Source organism: Homo sapiens, chromosome 16 (assembly GCF_000001405.40).
Source record: "Homo sapiens chromosome 16, GRCh38.p14 Primary Assembly".
NCBI classification, from domain to species: domain Eukaryota; kingdom Metazoa; phylum Chordata; class Mammalia; order Primates; family Hominidae; genus Homo; species Homo sapiens.
In genome coordinates, this window is record NC_000016.10 from 783,304 (window position 1) to 802,500 (window position 19,197).

Genomic DNA, 19,197 nt, shown 5'->3' on the forward strand with positions numbered 1-19,197 from the left:
CTCTGCGGGGACATCAGGCAGACGAGTACCCAATGCGGGGGCCAGGAATGGTGACGGCTGCGGCCATTCCGTGGGTGCCGCAGCTCAGAGGTGGGCAGGCAAGAGCACCCAAGTATGCACTGTCGGGCTCCACCAGGCAGGCCAGGGCAGGAGAAGACACAGGAGGGACTTCCCAGCCCACCTGCCAGGCTTCTCCCCTCACTGGGACAGGGTGCTGGGTGACCCAGGCTGAGCCCTGGCCTGGCCCACCTACCCCAGCTCTCATCTTGGGAGAGACTCAGCCCCTGCTTGGCAGGACCTGCAGCTCAGGTTCAGCTGTGGAACCACCACCCCCTGCACCACAGCTATGCTATGGGTGCCCAACAAGCCAGCTCCATGGCCAAGCTGAGACTTGACCCCCGATCTGGGTCTTCTGGAGGCTGACGGCAGGGGAACTGGTAGGTGACTGCTCCCCAGGCCTGCACAAGCCCACAGGAACCCAGGTGCCCCTTTGAGAGCTCTAGGCTGACAACGAGGCACGGGCACCATGAGGGACGGCGCTCAGGCCTGGCTTGTTGATGAGGGTCCGGCTCAGGTCAGGCCTTGAAGGCCCCTTGGCCGGCTGTCAGCTGGGCCAGCCCAGCTGGACACAGCGGCTCCAACAGCTGCTGTTGGGGCAGTGAGGTCGGCAGCCCCCAGTCTAGAGGGGTGGGGCCCCGTGGGGCAGGGTGGGGAGACTGTCCCAGCCAGAGAGGGGAGGCGTGCCTGGCCCTGACTTGGGCTGATTCAGACAAGGACCAGGAGGAGGCCTGGAGATAAGCCAGCCCTGGGGGAGGGGAGGCCGGGGCCAGGTGCCCGAGGGTGGACACGTCCCGGGGCTGGCCAGGGAGGAGCCTCGAGAGTGATGGGCGTGCTGGCCGGGAGGGCTTTGCTGCCGCACTCTGTTGGGGTGGCCGACTGGTGCTACTTGAGGGTTATGCGGTCCCTTCGGATCTGCACCAGCCCCTTCCTTTACAGATGAGGAAACTGAGTCATGGGAGCAGCAGCAGTGAGTCCAGGGCCTGTGGCCTCACCTCAGGGACTCTGGGGCTGGAACCCACGTCTCGGCTGAGGGCACGGTGGCAGCTGCCTCCAGTCGGGCCCCGGTGGGGACTCCGGGTCTGGAACCCGCGTCTCGGCTGAGGACACGGTGGCAGCTGCCTCCGGTCTGGGCCCCGGTGGGGACTCCGGGTCTGGAACCCGCATCTCGGCTGAGGGCACGGTGGCAGCTGCCTCTGGTCCAGGCCCTGCTGCTGTCACCGCTGGGGTCGTAACCAGGGTTTCAGGGCTGGCCCCGGAGCTGGACAGTGGCAGGCAGGGGCCAGGCGGACCTGAGACCAAGTGCTGGCCCATGAGATGCCCCTTCCACAGAGCTCTGAGACTTGGGCTCTACGAAGATCCCTGGCTGGACCAGCTGGGTATTCCCATGGCTCTGGTTGTGGGGGCTGGGGGTTGTCCGGGGCCGGCCCAGGGTCTGTGCCCAGGCCAAAGCTGCACGGTGCTTGCTGTCTGCAGGAGAGGCCGATAGGAGCCTGGACCACTGCGTCTGTCCTGGGTCCTGCTGGGGCCTCAGGGCAGGGAAGAGAGCTAGGAAAGGTCTGGGTGGCCAGACCTGTCCCTTGGAAGCCCCACTTCGGACACGTTCACGGTCATCCTTGGAGCCAGTCACTGAACATTTATTTGGAGTCCCTGGAGCCCTGCTGTAGCCAGGAGCCCAGGTTGTGGCATGGGGGACAGAGGAGGTGGGACCTGGCAGACCCACAGCTCCCAAGCTGGGGTCCCGGAGGCAGAGTGACAATGCATGGCTGTGTGGGAGCCAGGCAGGCGGTGACGTGGCAGAGCTGCCAGCAGGGGCCCAAGAGACTGCAGCAGGTTGGTGCTCACAGTGGATCTGAGGGATGGGCGTGCGTGGCAGGGCCTTGGCCATGGCCCCTGACCAACCCCTGTGCACCAAACACCACACTGAGCTCAGAATCCGGGCAGAGAGGGAACCACTGGTACAGTGAGGCCAAGGCACACGCAGCCGGGCCTGCAGACTCGAGCCCAGCAGGGACCATTAGGTCTCGGGAGGAGGCAGCTGAGGGCGACAGGATCTGCACAGAGCAGTGAGGGGCAGAGGACGCAGGGACCAGATGGGTCTCCCAGGCCAGGTGAGCCCAGAACGGCCCTTCCCAGCCCCTCTAGAGGGTAGGTTGGGGGCAGTAGCTCACCAGGCCCAGGAGCAGCCCATCCTGGAGGCAAAGCCTATCCCAAAACCTGGCCCTGCCTCTTCCTGAGGTGACCTTGAGTCCGTAAAACTGACGCCCCTGGGGTGACGCTTGAGAGCCGGAAGCTGTTCCAGGAGGAGGGAGGGGCCTCGGTTTCTCCCGGGGCATGTGGGCAGGAAGGCCCTCGGGATCCCGCATCAGTCCCACGGCCGCGGTGCGGTCGTCACCTGTGATCACGGCTGCCTGGCGCCCCCTGCCGGCCCCACCTCAGCCCTTCCTCGCAGGCCTGGCCGGGGCAACCCAGTGGGCCTGATGCTGCCTGGCACCTCGAGGCCCCAGAGCCAGTGAGCAGACGCTCGCTCGCCCATCTCCCTAGAGTCCCGCTGTGCAGCTGACACCCCCTGCCCCAGCCCCACGGCTCTCAGCTGTCCGGTTCCAGCGTCCACTCCGACAGCCACTGCAGGCAGGGGCCCCGCTGTGCCTCAGTCTCAGGGGGCTTGGTTGGGGGTGGAGGAGGCCGGCCGGGCCCAGGCAGGAGTGCGGAGGGGCTGCCTGGCCTGGGGCCCCTATCCTCGGGGTCAGGGTCGGGGGTGGCCCGTAAGGCCTGCACGAGCTGGTCCAGCGACTGCAGCAGTGTGTGGGGGCTCCAGCAGGCATCCAGGGAGGGCAGGAAGGGGTCAGGCGTGCAGACCTCCACACACTCGGTGTCCGTGGGGATGCGCAGGTAGAAAGCGTGCAGCATCATTCTGAACGGCCGGTCCTCCCGGCCCGAGACTTCTCCGTAGGTCAGGTCGCCCACCACGGGGTGGCCCAGGGCACTGCAGTGCACGCGCAGCTGGTGTGTCCGGCCTGCGGGATGAGGGCGGTGCCGGATCAAGCTGGGAGCGGGGCCGATCCACACCTATCTCCCTGACCAGGACCCACCTCCCGTCATGACCCCGCTGCAGTCTTGAAGCAGCCTCTTGGGGTGGAACTCTCCCTGTCCCCTGCCATGAGTGAGGATGACAGTATTTAGGACAGAAGATTGTGTTCAGGTCACCACTGGTGAGGACAGGGCCAGGGTGGTGCTCGGTCCTGGAGAATCTAGGCCAGCCAGACCCCCAAGGAATCAGTCAGGAGCCAGCAGGGACCCTGTGTCAGGTGAGAAGCTGAGAGGCTGCAGGGCGTGGAGTTAAGAACGCAGGAGTGCTTGTTGCCAGCTCTGCCCTGATGCTCAGGGTGGCCCAACATAAGCTTCGTGGCCCTGTGCCTCAGTTTCCCTTCTGTCACCACCAGGACACCGCCCACCCCAGACACACCCGTGAGCGGCTTCAGCAGCACTTTGGAGACAGGATCGCCTGCGTACAGCCCGTGTTCCAGAACCACGAGATCTGTGAGGCTTGGCTTTGGGTTCTCACAACCTGGGGCGCAGAAGGCAGGTGTGAGGTTAGTGGGACTGACCCGGGGCCCAGGCCCACCCCAACGCACGATGCCCGCCCGGTGGGTCCCTGCCTGCCCAGGCCCACCCCAACCCACGATGCCCGCCCGGTGGGTCCCTGCCTGCCACACCCTGCGAGCCCTCGATGCACATGGTGTGGGCCCGGCCCTCCGTGCTGTTCCTGCCAATGGCATGGCTGATGGTTACCCGGCTCTCCTGGATGTGCCCCCGCAGCTGCAGGAGAGGGAGAATCGCACGCAGTTCACGGGGCAGCCCAGTGCTGCCGGGGAGCCCACCTAACACCAAGCAACCACGTAGAGCGTGGTGGGAGGCTCTGAGCCAGGGCTGCCCAAGTGGGGTGGGAATCCTGAGTCCCCACGCCCCACCCCAGGACTGACCAGGTCTTACCAATGCCAGGTAAGCCTTGGTCACGCGCCGCTCCTTGAAGCACCTGTACGCGCTGCCGGCGGCTGCCTTGTTTAGGGCCACGCACAGCGCCCCGCTGGTGGAGAAATCCAGCTGGTGGCAGAACCTGGAGTGGGACAGAGTCCAGAGTCTGAGCCACTTTCCTCCACAGACGCCACCGTGGGGCTCCGGCCGCCCCCCCTACCTGAACCCGTAGCAGGTGTCAGGGTCGGCCAGCTCGGGAAAGCGGTACCGCAGCTGCTTCTGCAGGGTCAGAGTCTCCCGCCACGCCTTGCTGTCAATGCGAACGTCCCAGTGCTTGTTGACCACCAGGAAGTCGCGGCTCCGGTACACGATGGACAGGTTCTCCACGCTGCCTGGCTCCATGGCCGGCCTGCCGAGCCACGCGTGGGTGCGTGTGCTGTGAGCACGTGGTGCGCCCCCAGCCCAGCATACAGAGGTACCCGCACCGCCCCACCCGGGCTCCGGTGCGAAGCCACCGAGCCGGGTCCGCAGCCCTACTGTGCACCTGCATCCTCAGTCCCCGAGATCAGTCCCCAGGGCGTCAGCTGGGGAGTCAAGGAGTCAGCCTGCTCCGGGCTGACCTGAAGGGCCCTGCCTGACCTAAGCCTGGAGAAAGAGCCCGTTCCAAACCTGCCCCACAGATCCTCCCCACAGACCCTCCCCTCCAGGGGATGCACGTGAATGCCTCTGCCCGACGGTGGGGGCGGGGAGGGGCTGCAGCACTACCAGGCCCGGCAGCCAGGTCTGCCCGCAGCGCGGGTTAGGGCTGGGGCCTCCTCGCTCCCCGCAGTCCGCGCAGACCCGCGCCCCGCACAGGCCCGGTGGGCAGGCCGACCCTGGCTCCGAGCCCCTCCCGCGCCCACGCCCACGCCAAGACCAACCTGCTGCCGGGCCGTGCAGTCCAGGCCCCCGATGCCGTGCCCGGCGCCGGCTCCAGCCGCGCGCCCGCGCGCTGGCGACCCAGAGACCCTGGAAGCTCCGCTCCGGACGCCTGGCAGCGCTTCCGCCCTGCACCGCTGCGCGCGCAGCCCCGCCCCCCCCCCCGGCCCGCCCCCGGCCCGCCCCCGCCGCGGAAGGGCGGCTGCGGCGGCCAATGGCGAGCTCCCCAGGACAGGACGCGGGGGCTGCGGAGCAGGAACTCGCCCCGCCCACCCCTCGCGCAGCCCCGCCTCCGCCACGCCAACCAATGGCGCGCGCCGCCGGGCACGCCGGCTGCTGATTGGCGGCGCCCGGCACGCTCGGGGCGGGCAGTGCGCGACGGCGGCGGCGGCGCGGGAGGTTCGGAGCGGGAGCTCGGGCTCGCGGACGGTATGGAGGACTACGAGCAGGAGCTGTGCGGCGTCGAGGATGATTTCCACAACCAGTTCGCGGCCGAGCTGGAGGTGCTGGCAGAGCTGGAAGGTGGGGCGCGGCCCCCGGCCGTTGGGGAGGAGCTGCGAAAGCCGGGACAGTGGCGACCTCGGGGAGGGCGTGCCGGGGGCCGAAGGGGCCTCCACGTCGCCGCTGGCGGGATCTGCTGTCTCGGGGCGGCCGCTGACAATCTCCTCTCCCAGCAGGGGCGTCGACTCCGTCGCCCTCCGGGGTCCCCCTGTTCACCGCGGGCCGACCCCCGCGGACGTTCGAGGAGGCCCTTGCCAGAGGGGACGCGGCCTCCAGTCCCGCCCCAGCCGCATCTGTGGGCAGCAGCCAGGGCGGCGCCAGGAAGAGGCAGGTGGACGCCGACCTGCAGCCGGCCGGGTCCCTGCCCCACGGTAGGTTGGCGGCATTGCCCCAGGGCCTCCGGAGTGGGCGCGAGGCTGAGGAGGCCTCTGGTTCCCTGCATGTGTCTCCCCCAGCCCCCAGGATCAAACGGCCTAGGCTGCAGGTGGTCAAGAGGCTGAACTTCAGATCGGAGGAGATGGAGGAGCCGCCCCCTCCCGACTCCTCGCCGACGGACATCACCCCGCCGCCGAGCCCTGAGGACCTCGCAGAGCTTTGGGGCCACGGGTGTGTGGCTTGGACATGGGCGTCCCATCCCATCTGTCCAGTGGGACTCAGATGGAGCCCATCCCGTGCCCTGGATGAGGCCTGGGGGGTGGGGAGGGTTCCATGGCTGAGAGCAGTCTCGGACACCCATATCCAAGGGTGACCCCACGCTTGAGTTTCTGCCACTGAGCCCCGGTCTCTCTCCAGAGTCTCAGAAGCTGCTGCCGACGTGGGTCTCACACGGGCCTCACCAGCTGCCCGCAATCCCGTCCTGAGGCGGCCCCCCATCTTGGAGGACTACGTCCACGTGACATCCACGGAGGGCGTCCGGGCTTATCTGGTGCTGCGTGCTGACCCCATGGCCCCGGGGGTGCAGGTGCGTGGCTGTGGCCTTCCTGCACGGTGGGTGGGCCAGTGCTGCTCAGGAAAGGGTCCTTGGAGCCCCTCACCCCTGCCATTTGCTTAAAGCGGGTCCTGTGCAGAGCCCCAGGGGTGCAGAGGGGGAGGCTGCGTCATGGGGCGTAGACTTAGAGGACACAGCCTCCCCACAGCAGGTTGCTGTCCAGCCTGTTTGTATGGCCTCGGGTGGAGAGGGCCTCCTTGCTTCCCCTCCTGCTTTTGCCCTTTCCTCCTTTCTCCTAAAGCTGCCCCCAATTTCCCTTTGCAGCTGACCCATCTGGATGGCTTCATTCCTTTGGCACCCCTGTCCAGTCTCCCACCCCTCACTGGCCAGCTTACTGGGGTTGTCCCACCCGGGTCCCTGAGCACTGATGGGGGCTGACGTGAATCCTGTGACCTAGGAGGGGCCCAGAGGCAATTGTCCTCCCTTCCCCACAGGGCTCTCTCCTCCACGTCCCATGGCGAGGCGGTGGCCAGCTGGACCTGCTGGGTGTGTCCTTAGCCTCCCTGAAGAAGCAGGTCGACGGCGAGGTAGGGGCTGCGGGTTTGCTGGGGGGCGGTGGCGGGGCCGCCTGAGCCCTCCTGATTCCAGCCTGTTGTTTGCACAGCGGCGGGAGCGGCTGCTTCAGGAGGCCCAGAAGCTTTCAGACACCCTGCACAGGTGACTTGGTTGGCCCTTCCGCCCTGGGGACCCTTGTTGGCTCTTGCACCAACTCCTAGCTCCTAGCGTGTGGGTTGGCATGGTCCCTGCGAGTTGTTTGTGGCTCAGGACGTGGTCCTCTCCAGTCTCAGGTCGGGGGAGGAGGAGGCAGCCCAGCCCTTGGGGGCCCCTGAGGAGGAGCCGACTGACGGTCAAGACGCCTCCAGTCACTGCCTCTGGGTGGATGAGTTTGCACCCCGCCACTACACGGAGCTGCTCAGTGATGACGTGAGGTCTTGTTCTCACTCAAGTGTGGCTGGCTTCCTCTGTTCCCAAGATGGAAGAACCTGGGCCCAGTGATTTTTGCACAGCCAATCCACTGGGCCTCGGAGACGGAGTGGGCTCTGGTTTGCCCTTTTGAGTTGTAGGTGGTGAACTGAGCACAGGGCTGTGTGCTACTGGTCCCCTGTGACCTGTGAGGCAGGCTAGGGGTCCAGGGTGTCACCTGATCCAAGTCTCTGTTCCCTTTCCTACCTTCACAGCAGCTGACACTGGAGTGCCCCTGGGGAGGGCAGGGGCCTCCCAGATGGGTTGTGGCCAGAGCCGTGGGGGTGGAGCCCCTGGTGTGAGCCTTGCGGTCACTCGCTGGCAGGAAGACGGGGGTGGCCATTCATCCTGTGGCTTGGCATCCCATGGGGCATGGGGCTCATGGTGGCAGGTGGACTGTCCGTGCCTGGAGGCGGTGCCCTCAGGCTGTGCTTCCCTTCCCGTCCTTCCCGCAGTTCACCAACCGCTGCCTGCTCAAGTGGCTGAAGTTGTGGGACCTGGTGGTGTTTGGCCACGAGAGGCCTTCCCGGAAGCCCAGGCCCAGTGTTGAGCCGGCCCGGGTCAGCAAGGAGGCCACAGCCCCAGGCAAGTGGAAGAGCCACGAACAGGTGCTGGAGGAGATGCTGGAGGCTGGGCTGGACCCGAGCCAGCGACCGAAGCAGAAGGTGAGCCCCGCTGGCTGTGCCGCCGGGAACAAGCCTGAGGCTTTGCACTCGGCGCCGGCACCCTTGCAGCCTGTTGACTTTCTCCAGGAGCCGTGGGTGTGGTGACGTGTGGGTCTTGGCGTGAAGCGCCATTAGCGTGAGTTAGAACTGGAGCGTTGCAGTAACAACTCGGGGGAAGTCGTTGTCCCTGAAGGGCTCTGCGGCTGGCCAGGATGATCTGGGTGGACGGTGGGTGGTTTCTGGGGGCCAGTCACACTGGTATCAGCTGTGTTTTGTCTGCACGAACTTTGCTTTGTGTAGGTTTTTTTTTCCGTTGCCATCTTGGTGTGTGAAAGTGCTCAATTTTGTTCTTATTTGATGGCTGGAGTGGGGTGGAGGGAGCGCCCAGCCTGTGGGACACATGTGGCAGTCCCTGGCTGCTAGGCCGGGAGCGTCCTGTAGGTGCGGTGCACACTACGCCTTCATCTACCTGGGCTGCAGGTGGCACTGCTCTGTGGGCCCCCGGGGCTGGGGAAGACCACCCTGGCACACGTGATTGCGCGTCACGCGGGGTACTCTGTGGTGGAGATGAACGCCAGGTGAGTGATGTGAGGTCCGTCTCTGGCTCGCCTTCTGTCCTGACGTGTTTGAGTTCTGGTGGCGGACCTGAAACCGGGTGTGGATGTTCCCGTCTTGAGGGTGGTGGGGGCCTGGGTGTGTGGGCCGGGAAAACGTGTCCTTCCTCGGGGTTCACGGGATCGGCAGCAGCCGCGTCATGTGACGGTCTCCACGCAAATGCGGCAGCCCCGGCCTTGGGAGGCTGCCCTGCCAGGGACGCCCACTGCCCTGACGACCCCTGACCTCCCCATTGCAGTGACGACCGTAGCCCGGAGGTCTTCCGCACACGCATCGAGGCGGCCACCCAGATGGAGTCGGTGCTGGGTGCTGGCGGGAAGCCCAACTGCCTGGTCATCGATGAGATCGACGGGGCCCCCGTGGTGGGCTCCTTGATGCCTGGGTAGGTGGGTGGGCGGGCAGGCAGGCGGGCAGCAGGGCCTGGACTCACCGTGTCCTCTGACCTCCCCCAAGGCCGCCATCAACGTCCTCCTGAGCATCCTGAACCGCAAGGGGCCACAGGAGGTGGGGCCACAGGGCCCGGCTGTGCCTTCGGGAGGCGGCCGACGGCGCCGGGCAGAGGGGGGGCTCCTCATGAGGCCCATTATCTGCATTTGCAATGACCAGTGAGTGCATGGGCGGGCGCCACAGTCAGGAGAGGCTCTGGTGCCTGGAGGGAGGGTTCCGGCCCGTCCCTGTGTCCTGGGCTGTGGTGCCAACCCTGGGGTCCCTGGCCCTGCCGCCTCTCCTCAGGTTCGCACCGTCCCTGCGGCAGCTGAAGCAGCAGGCCTTCCTGCTCCACTTCCCGCCGACTCTGCCCTCGAGGCTGGTGCAGCGGCTCCAGGAGGTCGGTGGAGCCCCAGGAGCCGTGTGGCTGATGGCGGGGTTGGGGGCGTGGCCTCGTTCTGGCCCCTGTTTCCCTGCCCCTCCCCATGGAACCCTGGTAACCCCTGAAAGGATGGGGCATACCATCGGGCCCTCCAGCAGCCCTTCTCCACCAGGTCTCCCTGCGGCAGGGCATGAGGGCCGACCCAGGGGTGCTGGCCGCCCTCTGTGAGAAAACTGACAATGACATCCGGGCCTGCATCAACACCCTGCAGGTGGGCGGCCGGCAGGCACCGGGTGGGGTGGGGTGGGGTCAGGAGTTGGCCGCTTCTCATGCCCCCGCCCTATGTCTAGTTCCTGTACAGCCGGGGCCAGCGGGAGCTGAGCGTGCGGGACGTGCAGGCCACACGCGTGGGCCTCAAGGACCAGCGCAGAGGGCTCTTCTCGGTGTGGCAGGAGGTCTTCCAGCTGCCTCGAGCCCAGAGGTAGGCGGTGGCCACAGCCTCGGCCCAGATGCTCACGGTGCCCGGACCTCAGGACGCTAGCCCTGTGTGCAGGCCAGCACTACCTTCGAGGCGGGGACTCAGTGTCCTGAGCCCGCGGTTGCCTGGTCCAGCCTCCAGGGCCCTCCTCAGCCTTTTCCTGGCTTGTTCTCGCCCCTACAGCCTTGGGGGGTCAGCTAGAGAAGCCTCCAGGGCCCCCTGTGGGAAGGACACCCCCAGTGTGGTGGGGCCTCCAGGGCGTCCCTCTCCAGGGCGCCCCTTGACTCAGCTGCTGTCCCAGTTGCACCCTCATTTTTGCCACATTTGGCCTGGGCTGTGGTCTCTGAGCCCCTGCCTGCCCACACTGCTTGGCCTCCCGTGGGCAGGAGCAGCCAGCATGTCTCTGTCCTGACGTGCCATGGGACCCCAGGGGATGCTGGCCTGGTCGTGCTGCAGGATATGGGAGACGCTGGCCTGGGCCTGTGGGATGTGCTGCTCCTGGCCTGGACCCGGAGGGGGACTTTCCCTGGGGTCCCCTAACCCCAGAGGGTCAGGGCAGGGCTCCTCTCAGAGTGGGGCTCCTCGGCTTAAGGGAATGTTTCAGGGGGTTGAGGTCCGGGCGTGTCTTTGGCTGTCTCCACCTGAGCGAGGCAGCAAGGGCCCTGCTGAGAAGAATGAAGTGGGTGGCAGCTCTGATGGGGCCTCTGAGTGTCCCGGGGAGACGGGTGGGGCTGCCTGTGCTTTTAACACGGGTCCATCTAGCTTCAGCACCCCACCTGCAGGCGCCGTGTGGGCCAGGACCCCGCCCTGCCTGCTGACACACTCCTGCTGGGTGACGGGGACGCGGGCTCCCTCACCTCCGCCTCACAGCGATTCTACCGTGTCCTGCATGCCGCTGCCTCTGCGGGCGAGCACGAGAAGGTGGTCCAGGTACCTGTCTTCCACCAAAATGCCTGCCTGGGGCCGCCTGGCTAGGACCTGGGCTGTGCCCCTGCCCCTGCCGGTCCTCCCGTATGGACGGGGAGGCGCTTTGGGGGTGCTGAGAGAGGCAGGTTCGGGAAATGGGGTGCCAGGAAGTCTCTGAGGTGGGGAGCAGGAGCCAGGAGGGTGGGAGGGGCTGCAGGGCACGGGCCGGCAGGCAAGGAGGTAGGGGCGGCCGTCTGACGGGGGAGGTCGCTCTGGTGGCTGCTTGGGACTCTCAGCGGGTTGGGGTGGAGCCCCTGCCGGACAGCCTGGCCTGGGGCTGCGAGGGGCTGGATTCTGGACTTAAGATGCACATGGGGTGGAGAGCAGTGCGGTGAGGGCTTCCTGCCGCCCTGCCCGCGGGAGTCCCCGCCTAAGCTGTCTGCTGACTCTAAGCGGCTTTGGATTAGCAGCTGGGGATCCACAACCAATCCCCAAATCCCAAAAGCCGCGATGTGGAGGGGCAGCGTGGAGCAGCGGCGGGGATAGACTCCCCCACGGAACAGGGGTGGGGACGCCACGGCCTGGACTCTGGTGGGCGGAACTTCCTCAGGCAGTCTAAGGAGGGGCTGAGTGAGGCTGGATCCCTTTGGTTCCTGGAGGCCTCCTGGTGGGTCACCCCCTCGTGTCAGTCTCTGTCAAGTCAGTCTCTGTCAAGCTGTAGCGAGGATGCTCAGGGTGGACCCTCCCCCGACCCCTTGGGCCCAGTGACCCCTTGCTGGTGTGTGCTGCTGCCTCAGACGCCCAGCGTCGTGGGGACCCTTGTGGAGGGTCTGCGAAGCCTCGTGGGGCAGGCGGCAGGCAGGAGTGGAGGGTCTGTGGCGGGAGGTGGAGGGTCCGTGGTGGTGCACCTTCCCTGGGGTGGGCAGGAGCTCAGGGGTTGCCGGCCGCCTGCAGGGCTTGTTTGACAACTTCCTGCGTCTGCGGCTGCGAGACTCCAGCCTGGGTGCTGTGTGTGTGGCCCTCGACTGGCTGGCCTTCGATGACCTGCTGGCGGGGGCTGCTCATCACAGCCAGAGCTTCCAGCTGCTGCGCTACCCACCCTTCCTGCCCGTGGCCTTCCATGTGCTGTTTGCTTCCAGCCACACACCCAGGATCACCTTCCCCAGCAGCCAGCAGGAGGTGTGCTCGTCCCTGCACCACGCCTGCCCCCGGCCCCGTGCCCGCCCCCCTGTGCTGCCCGTGTGGCTGCCCCCGGCCCCGTGCCCGCCCCCCCAAACACACTGCCCGTGTGGCTGCCCCCGGCCCCGTGCCCGCCCCCCCAAACACACTGCCCGTGTGGCTGCCCCCGGCCCCGTGCCCGCCCCCCCAAACACACTGCCCGTGTGGCTGCCCCCGGCCCCGTGCCCGCCCCCCTGTGCTGCCCGTGTGGCTGCCCTGGCCCCACCCACCATTCCCCCCTCGCCCGGGAGGCCCAGGTGACCAGGCCTTGGCTCACCCCCTGCCCCAGGCCCAGAACCGGATGAGCCAGATGAGGAACCTGATCCAGACGCTGGTGTCCGGCATCGCGCCAGCCACGCGCAGCCGGGCCACGCCCCAGGCCCTGCTCCTCGATGCCCTCTGCCTGCTCCTGGACATTCTTGCACCCAAGCTCCGCCCCGTGAGTGCCGTCCCCGGGGTGGGGGATTCCCCGCCTGCTGCCCTCCTGTCCTAGGTGAGCACACATTTGTACAGCCTGCTCAGCTCCCTGTCTGCTGCCTCCCATCCCCTAGGTGAGCACACAGCTGTACAGCACCCGTGAAAAGCAACAGCTGGCCAGCCTGGTGGGCACGATGCTCGCTTACAGCCTGACCTACCGCCAGGAGCGCACGCCCGATGGCCAGTACATCTACAGGCTGGAGCCGTGAGTCCCCCAGTGCCTGGGGTGTGCTCCAGGGTCATGCTCCCCGGCTGTGCTCCATGTTCAGGGCCCGCATGGGGCCAGGAGTCTGAAAGCACGGTCATGGCGTCTGGGGGTGGCGGGCCCCAGCTTATCTTTTGCTCAGATGTAACCGTGAAGGGGGGTCACTTCCAGCTACTTGAGATTGGCTCTGGGACCTGAGTTTTGCTGCAGAGCTGCTCCCAGCCTTAGCACCCCCACATGGAACTGGAGCCGGGGGCCCCGAGAGTGACTGCACTTTCCAACACTCCGTTTCCCGCTGTGGGATGGCCATGGGGGTGGTGGGGGTGAGGCATGGGGCAGTGGCCCCGGGGTCCTGCTGCCCCAGCGACGGCACCAACTTGCAGGACGCTGAGTCACTCTCCGTGGCAGCCATCGGCAGGTTTCATCATCATCCCACGTACACTTGCAGTTGGGGAAACTGAGGCTCGGGGCAGTTAAACCTGGCTGCCGCAGGGTTGGGGTGCGGTGGCACCAGGACTCAGCCCCACATTCCTGCTCTGGCCTTGTGGCTTTTGGGGTTTGCGGTTGGAGTGCCCGGCGGCTCTCTGGCCCTGAGCCTGGCCCCGCTGACCTGCCCTGGTGTCCCCCTGTGCTGAGCAGGAACGTGGAGGAACTCTGCCGCTTCCCTGAGCTGCCTGCCCGCAAGCCCCTCACCTACCAGACGAAGCAGCTCATCGCCCGCGAGATCGAGGTGGAGAAGATGCGGCGGGCGGAGGCTTCTGCCCGGGTAGAGAACAGCCCCCAGGTGAGCCCACCCAGGCTCTGGAGCAGGTTGCAGTCTGGGCGTGCACCATCCCCACTGTATCCCTGTGTGGCCAGATCTCACAATGCCTGCTCCCTACAGGTGGATGGGAGCCCCCCAGGGCTCGAGGGTCTGCTGGGGGGCATTGGGGAGAAAGGGGTGCACCGACCTGCCCCACGCAACCATGAGCAGCGGCTGGAGCACATCATGAGGCGAGCGGCCCGGGAGGAACAGGTGTGGAATGGGCAGCTGTGGGGGTGGGACCAGGGTACATACCTTTGGGGGTGTGGCTAGGGCAGTCATGAGGCGGGGCCAAGGCACCCATGGGGTGGGGCCAGGGTACCTTTGTGGGTGTGGCTAGGGCCCCTCATGAGGCAGGGCCAGGGTACCTTCAGGGCTGTGGCTAGGGCAGTCATGAGGCGGGGCCAGGGTATCTTTAGGGGTGGGGCCAAGGCACCCATGGGGTGGGGCCAGGGTACCTTTGGGGGTGGGGCTGAGCCACAGGAGGAGTCTGGCTGAGGGTGGGGCTGGCTCAGTGCCCTAAGGGGGGCTCTGAAGGACCAGCTCCTTACCCTCAGCATGACCAGGGTTCTACCCAGGCCTCAGTTTCCCATCTGGGCAGAAGAGTGGCTGTATTGGCTCTTCTTGATTGGCACCTGGTGGGGAGCAGATGGCAGTGAGGGGTGAGGGGCAGCTGGCCTGGGCCAGGTTCCGAAAGGTGTCTCAGAGGTGTTCTGGTCCCTCCTCCCTGGGAAGGCTCTCGGTCCTCCTGTCTTGGGTAGGGGCTGGATGGGGCATCTGTCCTATACGACTGACTAGTCCTTCCTCCCATCAGCCTGAGAAGGACTTCTTTGGACGTGTGGTCGTCAGGAGCACAGCAGTCCCGAGTGCAGGTGTGTGTGGGGGTGTTGTGGGGTTGTGGGGGGCCTGGGGGTTGTGGGGGGGCCTTACAGCTGAGGAGCAACCCTGTGGCCCCGCAGGGGACACGGCCCCGGAGCAGGACTCAGTGGAGCGGCGCATGGGCACAGCGGTGGGCAGGAGCGAGGTCTGGTTCCGCTTCAACGAGGGTGTCTCCAACGCCGTGCGGCGCAGCCTGTACATCAGGGACTTGCTCTAGTTCTCTGAGCCGCGGACATGCCCTCGCATTGCTTCCCGCAGAGTGCAGAGACAGGAAGCTGGAGATGTCTTTATAAAGTCACACCTTTACAGACTGTAATCACGTGCGAGTGGAGTGGGGTTCACAGGATGGTGGGAGTGGGGCCGGGCGTGGGCTCATAGGATGGTGTGAGTGGGGCCAGGAGTGGGGCTCACAGGATGGTGGGAGTGGGGCCAGGCGTGGTCTCACAGGATAGAGTGAGTGGGGCCGGGCGTGGTCTCACAGGATGGAGTGAATGGGGCCGGGCACAGTCTTACAAGATGTTGTGAGTGGGGCCGGGAGTGGGGCTCACAGGTTGGTGTGAGTGGGGCTGGGAGTGGGGCTCACAGGATGGAGTGAGTGGGGCCGGGAGTGGGGCTCACAGGATGGTGGGAGTGGGGCTGGGAGTGGGGCTCACAGGATGGTGGGAGTGGGGCTGGAAGTGGGGCTCACAGGATGGTGGGAGTGGGGCTGGGAGTGGGACTCACAGGATGGAGTGAATGGGGCTGGGCATAGTCTTACAAGATGGAGTGAGTGGGGCCGGGAGTGGGGCTCACAGGTTGGTGTGAGTGGGGCCGGGCATGGGCTCACAGGATGGTGGGAGTGGGGCTGGGAGTGGGACTCACAGGATGGAGTGAGTGGGGCTGGGCACAGTCTTACAAGATGGTGGGAGTGGGGCCGGGCGTGGTCTCACAGGATGGTGTGAGAGGGGCCGGGTGCGGGGCTCACAGGATGGTGCATTTGCCCTTTTCCACCCATGGGTTGTTCTTCATCAGGTCGGGGTTCAGGAAGGGGTCCTTGGGGATCCCGTCCTCGATCCACTTCAGCAGCCTGCGGGTGGGCGGGTGGCAGGTGAGTGGTGGCACCTGACCCCCGAGGGCCTCCTGCTGCACCTGCCTGTCGGCGGCGGTGGTCGTGGCTATGGAAATGAGCAGCCAGCGCAGGGCAGACAAATGAGAGGCAAATCAGGCAGGTGGGGCACTCACTCGGGGATGGTCTTGGACGCCATCTCCCGCTGGAAGGCCAGCTGGTACTTGAGGCTCTCCACCTCTTTCTTCATCTGTGGCACGTCCCACTCCTCCATGGGGTCAGGGGCTTCTGAAGCAGCCAGCCTGGGGCTGGAGGGCACAGGAGGAAGCCACAGGGCCGAGGCCACCAGCCTGTAGTCCCCACCCCCGCTGCTCCCCGCAGGCCTGAGCTGAACCCCGCAGGATGAAGCGGGGAGAGTCCACACCACTGCCTGGGCCAGTCCCCTAGGCGTTGCTAGGGTGCAGGGCACAGAGCGAGTTCCCACAAGGCCCCAGCTCCCGCCTCCTGCACTGGGACTAATTAACTGCAAGAAACTTTACATCCTCAGCTACTCCCCCATAGGCCCCCACACCTTACGAAGATCCCTTGCAGGCAGGAGAAAGGGTGCTCAGCACGGCAGGCCCCCAGCTCCTACCCTCCCACTGAGGCCCACGCAGGCTGACCCAGACCACGGTGTGAGGTGTGGGGCGAGGTCCTCAGGAGGTGGCCCCTGCCCCGCCCCGCTGTGTGCCCCTTTGCTTTGCATGGCAGAGCCCAGTCCAGAGCCAGGACTCCTGGACAGGAATGTTCTGCTGCAGTTTGCTTCTCTGGCAGGTGGGGTGTGTGCTCAGGATCTTGGGGGCTCAGGCTATACTACCCGAGTCTGGGATATGGGCTGTGGGTGGCCCCTGGGTCCCCAGTGTGTCTGGGAACCACACACGTTACCTGCGTGCTTTCTGCTTGTGGCCAGCCTGGGAAAGCCACAGGTTGACACCCCTCAGAACTGCCACAAGTTCGAGGCAAGTGGGGGTGGGTTGCCCCCTGCCTCTCCCCCTACCCACTCCAGGGGCCCAGGGAGTCCCTCACTCCGTCCCAACTCTGGCCCCCGTCCCCAAGGTTGGGAGACAGGGCTGAACCTTGGGAGGGTGGGTGGGGGTTGGCGTCAAGTTTCGGGGAGCCTGCCTCTGGCTGTGAAGGGGGCTCCTGGCCCAACAGTCTCCCCATCCTTTGGTCGTGCAGCTGCACCGGCCACCTAGGGAGGGGCCCAGGGCCTGAGGCTGGTGGGGTCCCGGTGGTGAATTGGGCAGACTCCCAGCAGCCAGCAGAGGGTCTGCCCGTAGTGGGGTGGGAGGCCGGGGAGCGAGCGGGGGCAGGTTTCTGGGGGAGTGATCAGGGTCATGCAGAGGATTCCCTCCCGGAGACTCTGGAGTTCCAGCACCCCTACCCGCCCCCATCCCCGGTGCAGGCCTTTTCTCGGAGACCCTACACTCAGCCCCGTGGGCGCAGGACTAGCTGCGTGCGGGTCCTCCCAGGCCCGGGGTGTTGGCGCCCCGCCCACAGCCCAGTCCTTGCTGCCCAGCCCTACCTTCGCGCAGCTGCCGCCAAGCCTGGCCACCCACCCCGTGCACCCCGTGGACGCCCCCAGCCACGGGACTCGGTGGGCACTGCAGGCGGCGCACGGCGCTCAGATGGACACAGCTCCCCCGCACCGCGAGAGCCGCCTCCCTGCCTGCAGCACCGGCTCGGGTTGGGTTTTGCTGCCTGCGGGGCAGCTGCCCTCGCCCCGGGAGTTAGGGTGAGCCCAGGGGACTGACCTGGGCCAGCTGAGAGTCGAGGGGCCTCCGGGCCCTCCCTAGCCCCGGGCGCCTGTTCATCGGACCTACCTTGAAAAGGTGACAGCGGAGGGACAATGACAACGGCCAGGCGACCGCGAGTGAGAGCGAGGGCCAAGTGATGTTCCGGGAGTCCGCCAGGCAGAGCCCTGGCTGTGCCCCGCCCCTCCCGCCACCTGGGCCCTGGCGCCGCCCCCACACCCTCCTCAGGGCTGGGCTGACCCCAGAGATAGCCTGTGCTGCCCCCTCCCCTGGGCTCACCCAGCGGATGGACATGCAGCCAGGGGCCAGTGTGGGGCTGGTCCATTTTCCCTGAGGGGCCAGCTTGGGCCCTGGTGGAGAGGTCTCCTTCCACTTGAGGGGGTGGGTTCCCCCTCCAGTGTCCTGGGCCAGCCGGGAGGAGTGGGGATGGGGCTGGGACCCTTTGCCCTCTGAAGCCTCTGCAGCCTGCAGGGTTCAGGTGACACTCAGCTGTGCCCCCCTGACAGAGGCATCCTGTGTGGGCCATGTGGCTCACCCTGGGATGTGAGCCTCTTACTGCTAGGGGCCCCGGGGCTCTGTGGAGCTCCCTGCTCCAGCCCGATCCCCTGTTCCCAGACCAGTGGCCGGCACGGGGCAGCTCCCGAGGGCAGGAGAGTGCCGTGCTTTTCAGTCTGATCTGAGCTGAGAGTGGCGGCCTGAGGCGTCCCCAACACCGGTCCACTGTGGGTGCTCTGGGGCACGCTGCCTCGGGAGAGGTGCCCCCAGCTGCAGCACTTGGGCTCGGGTTGTGTGACCTCAAGGCTCTGGGGAGAGGGCTTCCCTTTGGGGCTCCGCACCTGTCAGCCTGCAGAGCTGAGACTGGCCCCTTTTCCTCTGACACGTTTCCCCGTGTCTCCTCCCACCCTGCCCTTGGGTGTACCCCTTGGGCTCCTGTGGGAGCTGTGCCCTATGTACCAGCAGGTGACGTACATACCAGGCTGCATCCTAGGTGGGGGCGCCCAGGCAGCAACAGCAGCCTCTGGGGGCACAGGGCCAAGCTCCCCAAACAGTCCCTGCAGAAGCTGGGCCACCCCCGGGGAAGCGTGGGCCAGGCCCTCGGTGGGTGCTGGCAGGGCCAGGGGCCTGTGAGCAGGTCACTCTGCCTTCCCCAGTGTCACAGGGAACCGCCCGGCCTGCCTGGGGTGGCCCAGACCTCTGCAGGGGTTGTCGGGGAGAGGTGGGCCCTGTCCCTCTCAGGCGCTCAGGTCCCTGAAGTCACTCAGCAGGACTCCCTGCCAGTGTGACTCCGTGAATCGGGGCCACCTGCACCTCCCGCCCTGATGTGTGTCGGCTGGATCAGAGGCGCCTCTGGAACTGGGGCACATTAGGGAAGGGATTATTTTTATTATGGATTTGGGGGTGGGGTGGGGCAGCTTAAAGCCCAGGGCACGAGGCCTCCTCCTCAGGGCAGATGGTTGCCCCTCTTGGCATGGTGGGGGCTAGACGTCTCCCTGATCCCAGTGCCCGCCCTGCCCTGCCTGTGCCCCCTGGTGCTGTGACTTCGGATGCACCTTAGTTTCTGGGCTGCTGAGGGCTCTCCCTGTGGCTGGGGGCACCACTTTGGGCGCCAGAGAGTGGAATGGCTGTTAGGGGAGGGGTGTGTGCCACCCCAGGATGCAGGCAAGGCGGGGGGGACCCCAGGGCATGTCCCCCACGTTCCCTGGGACAGCAGGTGGCTTGGAGCCAGGGCCAGGCGGGGGAACACCCTGAGGTCCGCAGCTGAGTTGTGAGAGCTGGGGGTTCTGTGGCCACTCTCAGGACCCCAAGCGGCCTTTGCATCTGCTCATCTGGAAGGACCTAGGAGGTCTCCTAATGGGGTCGCCAAGGCTCCAGGTTCTGGCTTTTGGTCAATTCACTGGACCCAG

General features: G+C 66.4%; 3 protein-coding genes across 16 annotated transcripts, besides 9 other annotated features; 1 reads left to right on the forward strand and 2 right to left on the reverse strand.

Annotated features, from left to right (window-relative positions):
- On the reverse strand, positions 1,671 to 5,078 carry RPUSD1 (RNA pseudouridine synthase domain containing 1). 11 transcript variants are annotated; one of them, NM_001324413.2, is made up of 6 exons: positions 4,953 to 5,078; positions 4,253 to 4,342; positions 4,051 to 4,174; positions 3,774 to 3,876; positions 3,524 to 3,625; positions 1,671 to 3,074 (listed from the first exon to the last, which is right to left on the reverse strand). In NM_001324413.2, exons 4-6 carry the CDS (start codon positions 3,793 to 3,795, stop codon positions 2,647 to 2,649), a joined length of 552 nt encoding a protein of 183 aa, NP_001311342.1. In that variant the 5' UTR covers positions 3,796 to 3,876; positions 4,051 to 4,174; positions 4,253 to 4,342; positions 4,953 to 5,078; the 3' UTR covers positions 1,671 to 2,646. The 11 variants fall into 11 exon arrangements, with proteins under 11 accessions (NP_001311342.1, NP_001311339.1, NP_001356587.1 ...); NM_001324410.2 differs by having other exon boundaries at positions 3,765 to 3,876; NM_001369658.1 differs by having other exon boundaries at positions 4,301 to 4,441.
- Positions 3,544 to 4,351: an enhancer, noted in NCBI's record as "H3K27ac-H3K4me1 hESC enhancer chr16:836847-837654 (GRCh37/hg19 assembly coordinates)". NCBI's record gives its function as "activates a minimal SCP1, AML or CMV promoter by ChIP-STARR-seq in primed H9 embryonic stem cells {active_cell/tissue: H9 hESC(primed)}" and the evidence as "EXISTENCE:reporter gene assay evidence [ECO:0000049][PMID:30033119]".
- Positions 4,801 to 4,890: a silencer, noted in NCBI's record as "silent region_6957". NCBI's record gives its function as "represses an Ori minimal core promoter by ATAC-STARR-seq in GM12878 lymphoblastoid cells {active_cell/tissue: GM12878}" and the evidence as "EXISTENCE:reporter gene assay evidence [ECO:0000049][PMID:35858748]".
- Positions 4,911 to 5,370: a silencer, noted in NCBI's record as "silent region_6958". NCBI's record gives its function as "represses an Ori minimal core promoter by ATAC-STARR-seq in GM12878 lymphoblastoid cells {active_cell/tissue: GM12878}" and the evidence as "EXISTENCE:reporter gene assay evidence [ECO:0000049][PMID:35858748]".
- Positions 5,317 to 14,771, forward strand: CHTF18 (chromosome transmission fidelity factor 18). 4 transcript variants are annotated; one of them, XM_011522572.2, is made up of 22 exons: positions 5,317 to 5,472; positions 5,625 to 5,822; positions 5,907 to 6,057; positions 6,244 to 6,412; positions 6,874 to 6,966; positions 7,044 to 7,096; positions 7,222 to 7,363; positions 7,858 to 8,067; positions 8,548 to 8,645; positions 8,921 to 9,044; positions 9,136 to 9,287; positions 9,415 to 9,508; positions 9,663 to 9,761; positions 9,841 to 9,971; positions 10,751 to 10,898; positions 11,829 to 12,053; positions 12,382 to 12,531; positions 12,644 to 12,774; positions 13,414 to 13,558; positions 13,658 to 13,789; positions 14,391 to 14,448; positions 14,536 to 14,771. In XM_011522572.2, the coding sequence occupies exons 1-22, from the start codon at positions 5,382 to 5,384 to the stop codon at positions 14,670 to 14,672; spliced, it is 2,931 nt and encodes a 976-aa protein (XP_011520874.1). In that variant the 5' UTR covers positions 5,317 to 5,381; the 3' UTR covers positions 14,673 to 14,771. The 4 variants fall into 4 exon arrangements, with proteins under 4 accessions (XP_011520874.1, NP_071375.1, XP_016879021.1 ...); NM_022092.3 differs by having other exon boundaries at positions 5,628 to 5,822; XM_017023532.2 differs by having other exon boundaries at positions 5,317 to 5,453; positions 5,628 to 5,822; positions 5,914 to 6,057.
- Positions 5,551 to 5,610: a silencer, noted in NCBI's record as "silent region_6959". NCBI's record gives its function as "represses an Ori minimal core promoter by ATAC-STARR-seq in GM12878 lymphoblastoid cells {active_cell/tissue: GM12878}" and the evidence as "EXISTENCE:reporter gene assay evidence [ECO:0000049][PMID:35858748]".
- Positions 11,109 to 11,838: an enhancer, noted in NCBI's record as "H3K4me1 hESC enhancer chr16:844412-845141 (GRCh37/hg19 assembly coordinates)". NCBI's record gives its function as "activates a minimal SCP1, AML or CMV promoter by ChIP-STARR-seq in naive H9 embryonic stem cells {active_cell/tissue: H9 hESC(naive)}" and the evidence as "EXISTENCE:reporter gene assay evidence [ECO:0000049][PMID:30033119]".
- Positions 13,243 to 13,412: an enhancer, noted in NCBI's record as "experimental_46330 CRE fragment used in MPRA reporter constructs". NCBI's record gives its function as "activates a minimal promoter by MPRAs in K562 erythroleukemia cells, with activity observed for the non-introgressed 16:846631 variant allele {active_cell/tissue: K562}" and the evidence as "EXISTENCE:reporter gene assay evidence [ECO:0000049][PMID:34662402]".
- On the reverse strand, positions 14,738 to 17,431 carry GNG13 (G protein subunit gamma 13). The gene is made up of 3 exons (NM_016541.3): positions 17,363 to 17,431; positions 15,677 to 15,808; positions 14,738 to 15,521 (listed from the first exon to the last, which is right to left on the reverse strand). The coding sequence occupies exons 2-3, from the start codon at positions 15,772 to 15,774 to the stop codon at positions 15,416 to 15,418; spliced, it is 204 nt and encodes a 67-aa protein (NP_057625.1). The 5' UTR covers positions 15,775 to 15,808; positions 17,363 to 17,431; the 3' UTR covers positions 14,738 to 15,415.
- Positions 17,120 to 17,669: an enhancer, noted in NCBI's record as "H3K27ac-H3K4me1 hESC enhancer chr16:850423-850972 (GRCh37/hg19 assembly coordinates)". NCBI's record gives its function as "activates a minimal SCP1, AML or CMV promoter by ChIP-STARR-seq in naive H9 embryonic stem cells {active_cell/tissue: H9 hESC(naive)}" and the evidence as "EXISTENCE:reporter gene assay evidence [ECO:0000049][PMID:30033119]".
- Positions 17,670 to 18,219: an enhancer, noted in NCBI's record as "H3K4me1 hESC enhancer chr16:850973-851522 (GRCh37/hg19 assembly coordinates)". NCBI's record gives its function as "activates a minimal SCP1, AML or CMV promoter by ChIP-STARR-seq in naive and primed H9 embryonic stem cells {active_cell/tissue: H9 hESC(naive and primed)}" and the evidence as "EXISTENCE:reporter gene assay evidence [ECO:0000049][PMID:30033119]".
- Positions 18,220 to 18,769: an enhancer, noted in NCBI's record as "H3K4me1 hESC enhancer chr16:851523-852072 (GRCh37/hg19 assembly coordinates)". NCBI's record gives its function as "activates a minimal SCP1, AML or CMV promoter by ChIP-STARR-seq in naive H9 embryonic stem cells {active_cell/tissue: H9 hESC(naive)}" and the evidence as "EXISTENCE:reporter gene assay evidence [ECO:0000049][PMID:30033119]".

What these genes read in the sequence shown, in the direction of transcription:
- GNG13 (NM_016541.3), bottom strand. Translation starts at nt 15,774, where the DNA reads ATGGAGGAGTGGGACGTGCCACAGATGAAGAAAGAGGTGGAGAGCCTC. An exon ending in GCGTCCAAGACCATCCCCGA is followed by an intron (nt 15,522 to 15,676) that starts GTGAGTGCCCCA and finishes GCCCACCCGCAG; the next exon opens with GCTGCTGAAGTGGATCGAGG.
- CHTF18 (XM_005255471.4), top strand. Translation starts at nt 5,382, where the DNA reads ATGGAGGACTACGAGCAGGAGCTGTGCGGCGTCGAGGATGATTTCCAC. An exon ending in GGTGCTGGCAGAGCTGGAAG is followed by an intron (nt 5,473 to 5,627) that starts GTGGGGCGCGGC and finishes CTCTCCCAGCAG; the next exon opens with GGGCGTCGACTCCGTCGCCC. An exon ending in CTTTCAGACACCCTGCACAG is followed by an intron (nt 7,097 to 7,221) that starts GTGACTTGGTTG and finishes GGTCCTCTCCAG; the next exon opens with TCTCAGGTCGGGGGAGGAGG.
- RPUSD1 (NM_001324086.2), bottom strand. Translation starts at nt 4,434, where the DNA reads ATGGAGCCAGGCAGCGTGGAGAACCTGTCCATCGTGTACCGGAGCCGC. An exon ending in GACACCTGCTACGGGTTCAG is followed by an intron (nt 4,175 to 4,252) that starts GTAGGGGGGGCG and finishes GTCCCACTCCAG; the next exon opens with GTTCTGCCACCAGCTGGATT. An exon ending in GGGCTCGCAGGGTGTGGCAG is followed by an intron (nt 3,626 to 3,764) that starts GCAGGGACCCAC and finishes TCTGCGCCCCAG; the next exon opens with GTTGTGAGAACCCAAAGCCA.